Source organism: Homo sapiens, chromosome 1 (assembly GCF_000001405.40).
Source record: "Homo sapiens chromosome 1, GRCh38.p14 Primary Assembly".
Lineage (NCBI taxonomy): Eukaryota > Metazoa > Chordata > Mammalia > Primates > Hominidae > Homo > Homo sapiens.
In genome coordinates this window covers 74,066,399-74,081,131 of record NC_000001.11, presented here as the reverse complement: position 1 = coordinate 74,081,131, position 14,733 = coordinate 74,066,399, and the positions used below count along the sequence as shown (strand labels likewise).

The following is a 14,733-nucleotide window of genomic DNA, read 5'->3' as shown; positions in this document are numbered from 1 at the left end:
TCTCTTAAGATAAAGTAAGATTGATATCAAATGCAGGATAGTAGCAATTATTCAAACCTCAGTTAAACCTGCCAGTCACTTAAAGGGGTTATCTTTTTTAAGTAACTTTTTAGAGTTACTTTTTAGTAACTATTTCTGGTAAAACTTCATTTTAAACCATTTGAACCATGCTCCTTTCTCCATGGTTTTTCTTGTTAGCCAGTACTTATTATTGAAAGCAGAGTCCAAGTGCTACTCTATAGTTTACCCACTTTGAGGACAACCCTATTTACTTGCCATACATGGATTGCTGTACACGTTAACCTCCCCCTAAGGTGAAGGCTTTGCATACTATGTTAATGAGAGGCTGTGCTGCCAGACACTAGAGCTAACGATTTTCATTCAAACAAATAAAGGCGACTCTTTTTGTTTGAGTTTTAGTATAATCTCTTTGAGTATTATCTGGAAAAGGTAAGATCTGGATTAGCACTCTGATTTGTATCATTCAGAATGTGAAAACAAAATTACAATTTTTTAGAGCTCTAACTAGGCTAAGTTGGGAAACTCAAACTAGGAAGGGTTGAAAATGCACCTTGAATTTGAAAGACAGCAGAGTTCAGTGTAAAGTGTTTATTCTTGATCTAGAAAGAAGATAGAGGCAATGGTTACCACTGCTACCGCTCCTTAATTTTTAAAGATAAATCATTATCTCTCTTGGGAAAATACATATCTAGTACCATAATCCATCTGACTTTTATAACCAGGTACTTATTCAATTTGTCAATTGTGGAGAGTTCTATAGCTCCTCAGATAATCTATTCCAATTTTCAATAATGCTCTGAGAAATTCTTATTATGATTAGATGAGATTTATTAATATACTATGTCTCCCCCACTTCTATACCTATTATAGATTATCTTTTCTTAGCTTCTTCACTCTGAATTACCTAAGGATGGCTCTTTAATTGCTGTTTTGGTTTTTTTTGTGTGTGATATAGAATCAACAGAACAGGTAGATAGATGTATCTGACTAAAGATATAATTATTCTTACCACATGTTTATGTTTATGCTTTTTGTGTGTGTGACAAATTCAGAAATTGATAAGTTGATAGAAACACCAAAAAATTCAGAGAATCTAAATTCAGAGAATCGTGATAAACAGTTTATAAAGAGATGCAAGAGTTGTGAAGGGTTGCTGAGTGAGAAGCTTTGGAGTAACAAAAAGATGTGAAAGAATTCAGGAAGAAAAGAAGAGAATGTTGAATGTGTTATTGGGGCAAAGTCCTGTAGAAAATACAAGCTATACGTTTCTTTTAAAATTATTTCTGGTTGTTGGACTGTCTCCAAAGAATGGAGCTTTGTTTTACATCATATTGAACTGAAGTTTCTAAATCTCCACTCATTCCTTCTGCTATTTCTCTTTGGCTATATTCATTCAGCATTTAATGAATAATTATTGAGTATTTATTGAGTGTCAGAGAACATTCTCAGCATTGAGTAAAAAAGAAAAGAAAAGTCCTTGCCCTTGTGGATTAGATTCTAGGGAAAAAACAAAACAAAACAAATCTTAACCTACGTTAGCAAACAAAATTGTGATAAATGTTATAAATAAAACAAGTAGGATGTTGAGATAGAGAATAATAGGAGGAGGACTATTTCTCATAAGATTGTTATGGATGGTTTTTCTGAGGAGACAATATTTAAAGTTAAGTCCTGAAGGAAAAGGAGCTAGCCATGCACATTTTGGGAAGGAGAGTGTTCCAGGCAGAAGAAAGATCTTACACAAGGACCTGAGGCATGCAATAGCTTATTTTGTTTGGGGTTTGTTCAAGAGTCTGCATTAAATCTAGTATAGCAGGACTGTAATAAACCAAGTCAACAGTAGCATGAGATGAGTTTGGCTGTGTGGTGAGGAGCCATATTTTGATGATGTTCTATACCTCGTAGAAAGGACTTAGCATCTTGAACAGTAGGAGGACTTAAAGCTAAAAGAGAAACATGATTGGATTTACATTTTGACAAATGAAAATGTATATTATAAAAGCCATGGTGAAGGCAGAGTCCAATAAGAGGCATTTGTGATTGACCAGAAATAGACAATTATAGCTGTAGAATAGAGAAGTAGCTGAAAATTTAGAGAAGGAAGCATATTTAAAATATATTTTGGAAGTAGCCTTGCCAAGATTTGCTGATAGCTTAGGCATAAGGTTTCAGAAGAAGGGTTAAATAACAAATTCTAAGTATTTCTGAGTTGATCAAAAAATTATTTTTTTCTGCATTATTTTTCAAAATGAAGAAGATGGATAGTGGAGGAAATAGGGACTCTGAATCTCCCTTTATCTTTTCTCTATACTGGATTTATCTATAGCCTATTTATATAGGGCTTACGTTCACAATAATTCAGTAGGTAAGCTGCTTACTATTCATGTTCCAGGTTATCCAAAATCATCTGAAGATATGTTTTCCTGATCTGACATAGTTCTTCAGAAGTGAATATGGTAAAACTATTGCTTCTCTCTTTCTCAACGAAATGCTTAATACAGCTTAGGGTCACATCACATAACAAATTCCTAACTAATTTACTTTTAACTAAAACGTATTTTATAAATATAATATAATATGTCTTATCATGCATGTTTTAAAATCACCACCAAGTATCCCAGTGATTAAGCGTATGTTGCCCAACTGCAATATTTATTTCTATTTTACTTCATTTGCTTAATTTACTTCCAGGCTGTTGACACTATCTTAGATTTTTGTTTGGTATTAATTGATTTTGTTTTTTTTACTATCTCATTGGAAAAGGTAGCAAGCATTTCTTTTATATTTTACTTCTCATTTATATAAACGTTGACCAGAATGGAGCTGAAAACAGAACCATGTATCATGACATTAGATACCTCCCTTCAGCTTGGCATCATTTTATTAATCTTCAGTCTTTCATGGTCACTCAACGTTTCTGATCTCTATCTAAAAGTAATGAAAGATTTTATCAAACATACTGCTGAATACAGGTTTACCATGCGAAGGATATTTGAACCTGAATTAATTTTGACCTTGTTAAAAATGAAATTGTATTTGATATAATTAGTTTATTGTCAACTTATTCCTTGATTATTATTCCTTTACTAAGTGCTACCAAATATCCTTAAAATATTTTCTGCAATTATTGAGGACCAGTGTTAAGTCTAAAGTAGGGTAGTTAATCAAATATACTTTCTGTTATTGAAAGTAAGATCGTTATTAGATCATTCCCAGTCTTCTGATAACTTTTCCTTCTCTATGAGCTCAAAGATCTATCAGTAAGTGCACACATTCTCTTTCCCTTCTTGCATTACATATAACAGAAAAGCCCATTTCTTTACTTTTGCAGCTTGTGTAAGCCTCAGTTCCTTTAGAGCTTTAAACTTTTTGTTCATCTTTCTGTAGATTTGTTCCCCTGTCATATATGTACCCTTTGTCATGAATTCTTCTTTTCTAAAAACATGGAAGGAAATATTTTTATAAAATGTGGCAAGCAATGACAGCCAGATACATGAAAAAGGATAATTAGGAGAAACGAAGAAAATATATTTCTAAAAGGAGCTAACTAGCTGTCTACTTAATTTCTGACCCTTTACGTTTCATGAGTTTATAAATTAACTGTATTTGTGATAGAGTTTGGATATCTCAAATTTGACAGATTTTTTTTGGGGGGGGTTCTTGTTTTTTTCAGGGGAATCTAAAGGTGTAAGTACTAGTGGAAACAGGATCACTGAACATACTCATTATTTTATCATGGGTAGGATAAAAGTGAGATATATAGAAGAAAGAAATGACACATTTCTATGGTTCAAATGCAATTTGAGGTGATTTTCAACATGTGATGAATTGCATCGTTAGGAGGCAGAAACAGAGAGAAGTTTCCAAATAGAGCAAAATTCTTAGAAGTAGGAAAATACGAGAGTGATCATGCAACTTGAAGAGGACTTGCAGAAGAATTTGAGGTTGAAAAAGTATTTAGAGTTGTTGTTACAGACTGGAATTGCAAAATAGTGCCACACATTGTATTTTGTCATACTTCTCTAATAGAAAAACCAGGGCCTAAATGAAAATAGAAGCAGCATTACTTAAAATTGTGTCATATTTTGACAATATGTTTTGGTATTGTGACTTCTTAAATTTTAATTATCCTTGGCAACATTGAAAAATTTTTAAATGTAAAGAGAATGTATGAGCTTAAAAGTACTTATTTGTGTTTCTAGCAAAATGAGGTGATTTTATCACATAAAGAGTGAATAGAAATTGTCTTGTGTAAGAGTTGAGTGAAGAATTTTTAAATGAAAAATAAAAACAGGTTTATTCCAGGAACAGATGATACTTAACACCTATAATGAGCATTAAAAAGCCCTTACCCTATGAGTCACTGCTTGGAGACAAATTGTTTTTGATAAGTAAATTAGAGAATATCACATATAAAATTTAAATAATAGAAACTAAGAAAATTGTAAATACAGGGGACCAAGGCACATATCCAAGTGTCTTTTCTAAATCATCAAATAAAGGAGGTTTGAACAAGTGAACAGGTCGAAGTAATGGGGGAAATGTGAGGATGAATTCTCTATTTCAAAATTCTGTCAGCTGTGACATATCAGAGAGTTTACCTGACTTTCTTCTTCTTAAATGAATGTGGTGCCATTCACTGAAACTAGGACTAAGAACTAATATATTTGGAGGAAAAAAATATTGTTTTGATTCTCTTGAGTATGAGATGTCCATGTGAAAGAGCTCAGTTTATGGTTGTTTTGATTATTAAATGAGTTAATATCCATAAAGAACTTCACAATAGCAAATGATAAGCGCTATGTAAATGTTCCAGAAACAAATACACAAAACCAAAGATCTCAGAAAGATCTATGGAAACTAAATATTTGTGAGTCTTCAGAAGTCAGATCAGTGTTTCTTACCAAAGAAAGTATCATATCCCGAGAAAGTTTTTTAATATGTAAACACATACCCTCATCTAAGCTTCTGAACTTTTTCTCTGATGGACTATTGGTTGCCTACCAATATCTACTCTTTTCTTCTGTCATGGTAACGGGCCCAAATTTCATTCCAGGCAGCAAAACACCTAGCAAAATACGTTATTCTTTACCCTCCCCTTCATAGCCGGATGTGGGGCCAATGAGATATTAAACAGAAGTTATTTGAAGAACCTCTGGAAAAGCTCCTTAAGATACAGGGCCTGTGTCCTTTTGTCATTTCCCTTTTCCTCCAACTTCTGACTGAAATGGTGTTTGGAGCTCTAGTAGCTATTTTCACTCATGTGAAAAGTTTGAGGATAGTACCCATGCAGATACAGTAAGAGATGATAAAGGAATTTTGAAAGAGCCTATGTCCCTGATAACCTGATGAAAGCTCCGTAACAGTCCTGGATGAACTGTGAAGAGGAAAACAGATAACACTGTCACTAAAACATCCCAACCAGTTCACAGATATTATACAGTTTACATTTGACAATGCCTCTGTTCCCCATGAAGCTACTTGCTACTCTTCCCACACATAGCTGATCCATTTGTCCTTTTTCTTTTCTTTTTTTTTTTTTCTGAGACGGAGTCTCGCTCTGTTGCCCAGGCTGGAGTGCAATGGTGCAATCTTGGCTCACTGCAATGTCCGCCTGCTGGGTTCAAGTAATCCTCCTGCCTTGGCCTCCTGAGTAGCTGGGATTACAGGCATGCACCACCACACCTGGCTAATTTTCGTATTTTTAGTAGAGACAGGGTTTCGCCATGTTGGCCAGGCTGGGCTCGAACTCCTAACCTCAGGTGATCCACCTGCCTCGGCCTCCCAAAGTGCTAGGGTTACAGGTGTGAGCCCCTGTGCCTGGCCCATTTGTAGTTTTAACATGTGTGATAATTCTGGTCCCGTTTCTCCCTTCCTTTCTTCCTGTTATTGTCCCTCCTTTTCCTCCCCCATGTTACTGCCTTTTAGTGCTCTGTGAAATAATTTTGTACCTCCCTTTATTACTCTGAATCTTCCTTCAGGCTTTCTGGGGAACACTATCTTGCTTCTCTTTGTTTATTCCTTATTTTCCCTCTTCCCTTGTTCCTTTTGTCACAGCACTTTCCTGGCAGGTCTCTCTTTCCCTCAATCTCTCTCACAGCATTGGCCAAGGTACAATATTAGTAGAATGACAGATTGTTAAAATTATACACAATGGAGCTTTTTAAATTTTTTTCTTAACCCTGCCTACCTCACAGGTTTTTGTTTTCATGTTTTAAATGAAAATCAATCATGATAATGTAATTCATGTGAAAACCCTTGAAGAACTCTAAAACACATGAGATATTATCATTGTCATTGCTTTTATTTTATTTTCACAGAATATATATTATCCTGTTGATTTAAAAAATTCCAGTGAACACAGAAAACATGTGTCATCTATTTTATGTGAATTAAAACCAAAAGATCTAGGCATGAAATCAAAAACATCAAGACATCTCATTCAAAAAGGTTAGTTATATGAATTTTTAATTATATTTAATAAATATATTTTGATGAAGAGTAAATAATATAATTAGAAATTGGGCATGTTGATTTGCAAGTATAAATCCAAAAGTCTATGAAATATATGTTGAGACTTCTAGATAAAATATCCATATCTTGGAGCAAATGAAGCCAGACACAAAAAAGTACATGTAATCCGTGTATAAAAAGCTAAAAAATGATAATTATCTTCATAGGGGAGTAGTGACTGGAAGAAATTACAGACAGGCATCTAGGATTTTGATAATATTATTTCTTGATCTGTGTGTTGGTTACATGCTTTGGAAGAATTCATCCACCTATACACTTGTGATTTGTGCACTTTTCTCTATGTATTCTCTATTCCCATTAAAAATATTACAGCAATGTTAAAAAATCATATCTTATTCAACATTTTCTAAATATACATATTCAGAAGGTTACTTTATGGATATCAAGAACCTCATTTGGGGTAGAAGTTGGGAATTAGGAGAAATTTTTTTAGGAAGAATCATTGAACTGATAGCTTTGTTACTGTATGGCTATGTCAGCATTGTACCTCCTTCAGGAAATCTGTCAAGTATCAGAATAATTATTACAAATTAGTTAAATTTTATAAATTATTAAATTTCTTTCAGACTTTGGTCATAATCATTTTTGTTGAATAAAAATGCCTATTGTCTTATTGCTGATAAAATTTTAGTTTTAAATGTGATCTTGATTTTGTTTTACAACATTTATTCTGATAAAATTTGTCATGATTAGATAAACTTTTCTTTATCTTTCACAGAAGAATCATAAAATCACTTTTGTAAAATCATTTGAAGGTCTTATTTTTCTCAAGGGCTTCTCCTAATTCTTAAACATTCAAATCTTTCTTTTTTAATCCCATGATGGTGTCTTTATCCCATTTGATTTTCTCTTCTTTGCATATGAATTGGTCAAACTCTGTTAGATCCTCATTGCCAGTGGCTTTATTTCATCAGTTCTCCATTTTACACATGTACTAATTTAATAAAACTGTTTTTTTTTTTTTTTAAAGAATGGACTGTTCAACTGTGTTGAAGGCCAGCTGAAAAGCCTTTGTGTGTGTGGTCTTTTTATTTTGTTTGTTTGTTTGTTTGTTTGTTTGTTTGTTTTAAGACAGTCTCACTCTGTCACCTAAGTTTGAGTGCAGTGGAGTGATTATGGCTCAGTGCACCCTCGACCCCCCAGGATCAAGCGATCCTCCACCTCAGCCTCCTAAGTAGCTGGGACTACAGGCATAAGCCACCATGCACAGCTATCTTTTGGATTTTTTGTAGAGATGGAGTTTCACCATGTTGCCCAGGCTGGTCTTGAACTCCTGAGCTCAGGCAATCGCCTGCCTCGGCCTCCCAAAGTGCTGGGATTATAAGCGTGAGCCACCTTGCCTGGCCAAAAGTCTTGGAATATGAAAACTAAATAGTATTTATTGAATCTGGAACATAGATATCAACGGTGGCCTTGACAAAAGCAAATTCAGCGAAGGAGCAGAGATAGGAACCATGTTGGAGAAGGTTAAGAGTGAATGGAAGTAAAGGAGTAAAAACATTGATAATATTTAACACTTTTGAGGTATTTTAAACTTTACACTTTTTATGCTCTCAATAATCTCAAGGCATTGAAAGAAAGAAATCAACCTTCTGAGTATCAAAAATTCTAAATTAAGAGCCAAAAGCATTTTTAGTGTTATCAATATTTTGTTATATTTATACTTTGAAAATTTAATATATATGTATGAATTATAAAAGAACATTATGGTCAGAATATTCGAATAATCAAAACTTCATACACAAAGTTAATTTTGGATATAATAAATTCTAGATATTACTCCTGCCTTCTAAGGTAAAGGGAATTTGAGTGAATGACTGTGGATTAAATTTTTTTTCAAAATGGTTCAGTCTGCTAATAGGTACCTACTTCCAACTAGGCTACAGATCTCTTCATAATCAGAGCATAAATGTGAGCATAAATTGCCCCACCATATGGATCATCTCTCAGTAGACCTATTTCCTAGATACTATTACTCCTGAGCACTGATTATTTTTTCTTCTTTGTTCACAAGCCCAAATATGAAGAAATTTAAGAACGTGATAAAAACATTAATCTCTCAATTAAAAAATATATATATATATATGAGCACAAAAGCATTTTATTTATAATTTTAGGAGGTTCATGGGATCACCAAAGCCCATCTATGGTCCTTAAATTAGTTGATAAGAACAAGAATCACATAATTTAGCTAATATGCAAGATTTTATACTACCTCTAAAATTTCCAAGAGAAGCTCACCTCAGTAAGTAATGGTTCTGGTATTATCAATTACATATCTTGCACACTTTTGTATCTTCATTCCTTGAGCTATTCCTAAACATTAGACATTATATAAGACTTACTTGAGATATATGCGATGCTTAATGTTTCTGACAGAGTATAGATTAATTTGAGTGCTATTCATATCACCTATTACCATAATTCCAACTTTTAGATACCATTCTTAAATACTGATATTTGTGTGGCTAAATATAATGGTGATAATCAAACTACCCTTAAAAGTAATATATGATTTGTTAATTTTTAAATGAAAATAACATGTTATTCTATGTATTTTCTAATCCTTATATTGTTAATATAAGATCAGCCTGAATAATTAATATATTGTTGAGTATTACAAATCCCATATGGGACCATATTATTCCATTTTCTCACCTAGACTTTCAAAGTTGGCAAAACTTTTAAAATATTTATTAGATAAATACACTAATGAAAGGGACCCATGCTATTTGTACTATAACTACATGTCCCAGTTTGGCCCCAGAGAGTCTGAGTTAGTGCCTGTTGTCCTGGTGTATAACAGTGCCTTTCAGTCTTGAACATGCTCCAGTCTAAATGATATTTTATTATTATACAAAACATATGTGCCTTTCTTTTTCTTCTTCATAAGTCAGTTTAACATGATTGGCTTATCAAATTAGAATGACACAAATCAAAGATCTTATCTCAGTATGAAACTGTACTAATAACATCAAGGATACAATCAAAAGACTCAAATGAAACAAGGAGACATCTGGGACATCAAGGGTAGCTTTCTAGGTCCTCTCTTCCCTTGGAGAACATGCACTTCTGACTTGGAAAAACAAAGTCTCTAGTGAGGATTATGAGTTTACTTCCAACGGAGGCAAGTGTTTACATTACAAAATATTTTCATTTTATTTTCCAGAGGGTTGTGTAGTTTATTGACATTTTCCAGGGAACACACCTTACAGACTCTGTGTTTATTTAACAGAAGCAATCCTGGCAGGGCACAGTGGCTCATGCCTGTAATCTCAGAGTTTTGGGAGGCCAAGGTAGGAGGAACACTTGAGGTTTGCAGGTTGCAGTGAGCTATGATCATGCTATTGCACTTTAGCCTGAGTGACACAGCGAGACCCTGTCTCTAAAAGATTATATAACTATATATAACTACATAGATAGATGATAGACAATAGATAGTTATATATACATACAAACAATTTACCTAACAACCTATATATATATATAACTATAAAATTTGTATAGTTATATATATAATGTGTGTGTATGTGTGTGTGTGTGTATATATATATATGTATATATAGCAAAGACAAGGAATCAGTTATATATATATATTGATATATATAAATAATCTTTAGCCACGGACCACCCTGCTAAAGGCATGCAATAGGTAAGGTGTCTTTCTCCTGAAAAATATAATTTCTCTATTTTTTCTGGAGTTCCAGTTGACATGGAGATTAGATTACATCACAGTCTTCTTTTCTTCCTACATGCCCTCATTTTATAAACAAAATGAGTGGATTGTTGGACAGATAGTTTAACTCCTTCCTCCTGCCCCTTCAACAGATTTTGAAATTGAGAGGTATTTTATTATGCTTAGATTTCTTTTTACTAAATCATAAGTTATTACTAAACATGCACACACACACATATATACACACAATTATATATATACATATATATATCATTTTAAGTTCAGGGGTACATATGCAGGTTTATTACATGGGTAAATTATATGTCACAGGGGTTTGGTGTACAGATTATTTCCTTACTCAGGTAGTAAGCATAGTGCCCAATACATATTTTTTTAATCCTCTCCCTCTTGCCTCCCTCCACTCTCCAGTAGGGCCCAGTGTCTGTTGCTCCCTTCTTTGTATCCATATGTACTTGATGTTTAGCTCCCACTTATAAGTGAGATCCTGTGGTATTTCATTTTCTGTTCCTGTGTTAGTTCACTTAGAATAATGGCCTCCAGCTCCATCCATCTTGCTGCAAAGAACATTATCTCATTATTTTGGGGGCTGCATAGTATTCCATCTTGTGTATGTACCACGTTTTTTTATACAGTCTACCATTGATGGTCATCTAGGTTGATTACATGTCTTTGCTATTGAGAATAGTGCTGCAATGAACATGTGTGCATGTGTCTTTATGATAGAACAATTTATATTCCTTTGGGTATATGTCCAATGTCCAATAATGGAATTGCTAGGCCAAATAGTAATTCTGAAGTTTTATTTCAGAAGTCACCAAGCTGCTTCCCATAGTGGGTGAACTAATTTACATTCCCATCAGCGGTGTATAAACCTTTTCTTTTCTCCACAACCTTGTCAGTATCTGTCGTTTTTTGACTTTTTATAATAACCATTCTGACTAATGCGAGATGGCATTTCATTGTGGTTTTGATTTGCATTTCTTTAATGATTAGTGATACTACATAAATATTTTTATCAGCCCTAGGCATTCAAAATTCAACTAGGGCATATGAAATCCTACTGTCTTGGAGCTTGCATATTATTGTAAGGATGATATTACAATTTTCAGTGGAAATTTTGGAAGATTATGAAGTTCAAAGTCTCCATGCACCTACTTGTAGCTTGTGACTAAGGATAGATATTATGTTGTCTCATTTATATTATCAAATAAATGGTAATTTACTTGTATGTGACATTTTAGCTGCTGATTGATTTTGCTATAAATATTATCCAAAATTCTTGTTTTATTAATTAGCTAGTTTGTAATAATAGGTGCTTTTATCTTCTTTAACTTAAATTAAAGCTATTATTTCTCCTAGCTTCATTTTATAATGCTTATCCAATTTTTTTTATTTTTCTCTACAAAAATGATATAACACTGTAGGTCAGACATTTTTAAATAATGCTATACTTCATGAATACCTATTTCATCGGCTGCTGTAAGAAGCATTTTCAGTATTAGAAATTAACATACAAATTTCTTGATTTATACTGAAAAGATGTGGCATACAAGACTGAAATTGAAACCTTAAAAGTGTGTGTTCTGTTAGTGATTTTTAACCCTTTATAATAAGTATAGCTGCAGAATGGGCCAATCTTCTATAGCCATTTCAAGGACCATTCATATTTCAGATACAGTTGTAAAGAAGTAAATTCAAATACTTTCCAGAAAGTGCCAGCTGTTACATAAAAGATATTTCTGAGAACAAAACTGCTACTTCCTATTCAGCCAAAAAGGTCAAAAGTTTAATTATTTGAGGGTCATTGTATCAACCTGCCTGTGATCAGATTTATGCAGTCTTTAGTTATTTTACCTTCATTATATACTTTGTCTTGCTCCAAATCCACTTATATCTGAAACGAATACTCTAAAGGTGATTTTATGGTTTCCACTGAAACACATTACATTTTCTGCCTCCAACATTTTTCTTCCAAATTCATCCAATTTGTCACCTTTCTGATCTCAATCCACTTGTGCTTTATGCAATTTTAACAGTGCTTTTTTTTTTTACCATTCTCCTAAATTGTTTGCTGGAATGACTGAATTTTAGTCTAGGATATAAAATAATATCAACTAAATTACTCCAGATGAGCAATTAAGGCATACTCATGCATATAAGACTAGAAATCTTTGCCACCAGATGTTAAATTAAAAGCAAACATGCAAACAAACCAAAAATGTATTTTGTTTTTGTATCTATGTAATATTTCAAATTGCTTTTAAAATATTTTAAATACTTTTACTACTGAGAACAGAGAGGAAGAAGGTGAAATTTAAATCAGATATGTTTGAATTTATTTTGTAATTATAAGCACCGGTACCATATATTCCATGTGCTCCCCTGCATTGCCCAGCTTCCCATGCAGTTATGTAAAAATTATGTGATCAGTCTCTCCACTTGACTGTGAGCAAAAGTAAAAGTGATCATTTCAGAGTAAAAGAAATTAAGAGAATTGTTCTATTTCCCTGCTATGCAGATCTTAGAGGCCATATGTTCCATTAATATAGCTGCAAGGTCCTCCTGACCCACATTGATTCTTAGATGAGAAATAAAGAAATCTTCACTGTACTAAACTGTTGAGATTACAGGGTTTATCTGTGAAGGAAATTAGGATTAATTATGCTATTAAATACAGAAATTAGTATCATAACATAAAACCTAAAATATGGCCTTATCTTTGTGATTAGTTATAGGAGATGAAAAAATTGATATCAGGGGCTGAAATGATGGCAGTCCAAGTTATTTAGTAGCAAAGAATTTCCCCGTGATAACTTGGAAGGCAAACTATGTGCCTACTAATTTATGTCTCTAAGGCAAGAAGCTGGAAGACGGAATATTGATTCTGTGTGTTGGTTGTACTTGACTATGTTTGGCAAGTTACCTTATAGTAAAAAGAGAGCTCAGAAAAGTAGCTGGTTTTCAAGACAAAATAAAAGAAAAAGAAGACCTCCAAAATTAGGGCCTTGCACATATGGAAAGCTGTCTGCTTCTAAATAACAAATAGTAAAACAATAAATTTAACAAGTCTTTTAGACAAGGGCGCAAACTTAAGTGAAAATTATGACTCACAGCACAGTTTAGATTAAGCGTATGGGCTTCCCGTATATTATTCCAGATTTATAGTAACTTCCATTAAATTGCTAGAGAGTGAATTGTGGGAAGAAATTAAGAAAAAAAAGCAGATATGAAAACTACATATGACTCCAAAAGAATTTTTACTGTGATCAACCACATATGGAACTCACAGAAGAAAATAGATCAGATATCTATAATTTTAACAGAGAAGGATTACCAGAGAATTTTAGCCTAAAATACCTTTGAGCATTCAAGACTTAAATATACACTTGATTTCTTCATCTTCAGCACTAAAAAGTGCACTGAAAAAGCTTTTGTAGCCTCTGAGGTAGGCAATTCCGTAATTCTCCACACATTCAGAAGGCAAGAGAACTAACTCCACACGGAAAGCAGAATCAGGGATTAATTCAGGAACCACCTGTACCTTAAGGTAGGAGAAGTTCACAGAGTGTGTACTTCCACTTGTGGTTAGTCTTTCCCTCTTCCACTTTTGTATGTTTAAGTGTATAAGAATGGGTGGGGCAGAAGGCAGATGATTTGTCTTTTAATTCATAAGTCTCTGGATTAAAAACTTATCCAGACCTGATTGAGAGATACTGCACACGTAGAGATTCTGGACTTGATGGGATTTCAGTTGTCATTTTTTAGGAGTGTGTTCAATGTTTGGCGAAAAGGGATCAAAGGATCTTTGGTGACTTGTGGCAATAATTTTGTTCTTACAAAGTATTCTACTTGTTTCTCTACATTTTCTAGCTTTCCTTAAATTTAATTGGGGTGACATAATTTATTACTGGTTAATAAATTCTGACTCAAAGTAAGTGTGTCACTTCTGGGCTAAGCATACCATTCTCTTTATTTCGTTGCTTTAGCATCCCTAGAGCTAGCTTATGTTTCAGATGGTCTAGCTATACTACATACGAAGAATGCCCCATCCAGTTTAGGTTTGAATGAGCAAGAAATCAACTTTTGTTTTGTTAACCATTATGATTTTAGGTTTTGTCTGCCATGGCATCTAGTGTTAATTATCTTGAGTAATATACTAACCATGGTGATGGACTTTTATTATAATCAAATAGCTATAATAAAAACATATATTTCATAAGTAGGCTATGAAAATTAAGTGAGAGAATGCATGGATAGTACTTGACATAAAGTCTAGCACATGTGTATACTCAATTTTCCAGTAAAATATCTAGCACAGAATAATTGTTAATAAATGTTAGCTGCTGCTGCTGCTGTTATTGTTGTTATTAGACCTCATATACCCATAGAACTGAAATGTATTATGAAAAGTAGCTGTGGTTATACCAAAAAATGTGTCTATTGTATAATATTTTTTGAGAATTTAGAAAGAAAATAGATAA

General features: G+C 33.4%; 1 protein-coding gene across 6 annotated transcripts in view; it reads left to right on the top strand.

Annotated features, from left to right (window-relative positions):
* Positions 1–14,733, top strand: part of LRRIQ3 (leucine rich repeats and IQ motif containing 3) — a 172,162-nt gene that overhangs the window by 117,045 nt on the left and 40,384 nt on the right. For 3 of the 6 annotated variants that reach the window (NM_001322315.2, NM_001105659.2, XM_047445383.1), the window contains one exon: positions 6,342–6,471. The exons of 1 other annotated variant lie outside the window; for it this stretch is intronic. In NM_001322315.2, coding sequence (NP_001309244.1) covers positions 6,342–6,471 — 130 coding nt within the window. Of the gene's footprint in view, positions 1–119; positions 744–2,413; positions 2,478–6,341; positions 6,472–14,733 lie in introns of those variants that run through there. 2 more of the 6 variants (XM_047445378.1, XM_047445373.1) reach the window with 2 other exon arrangements.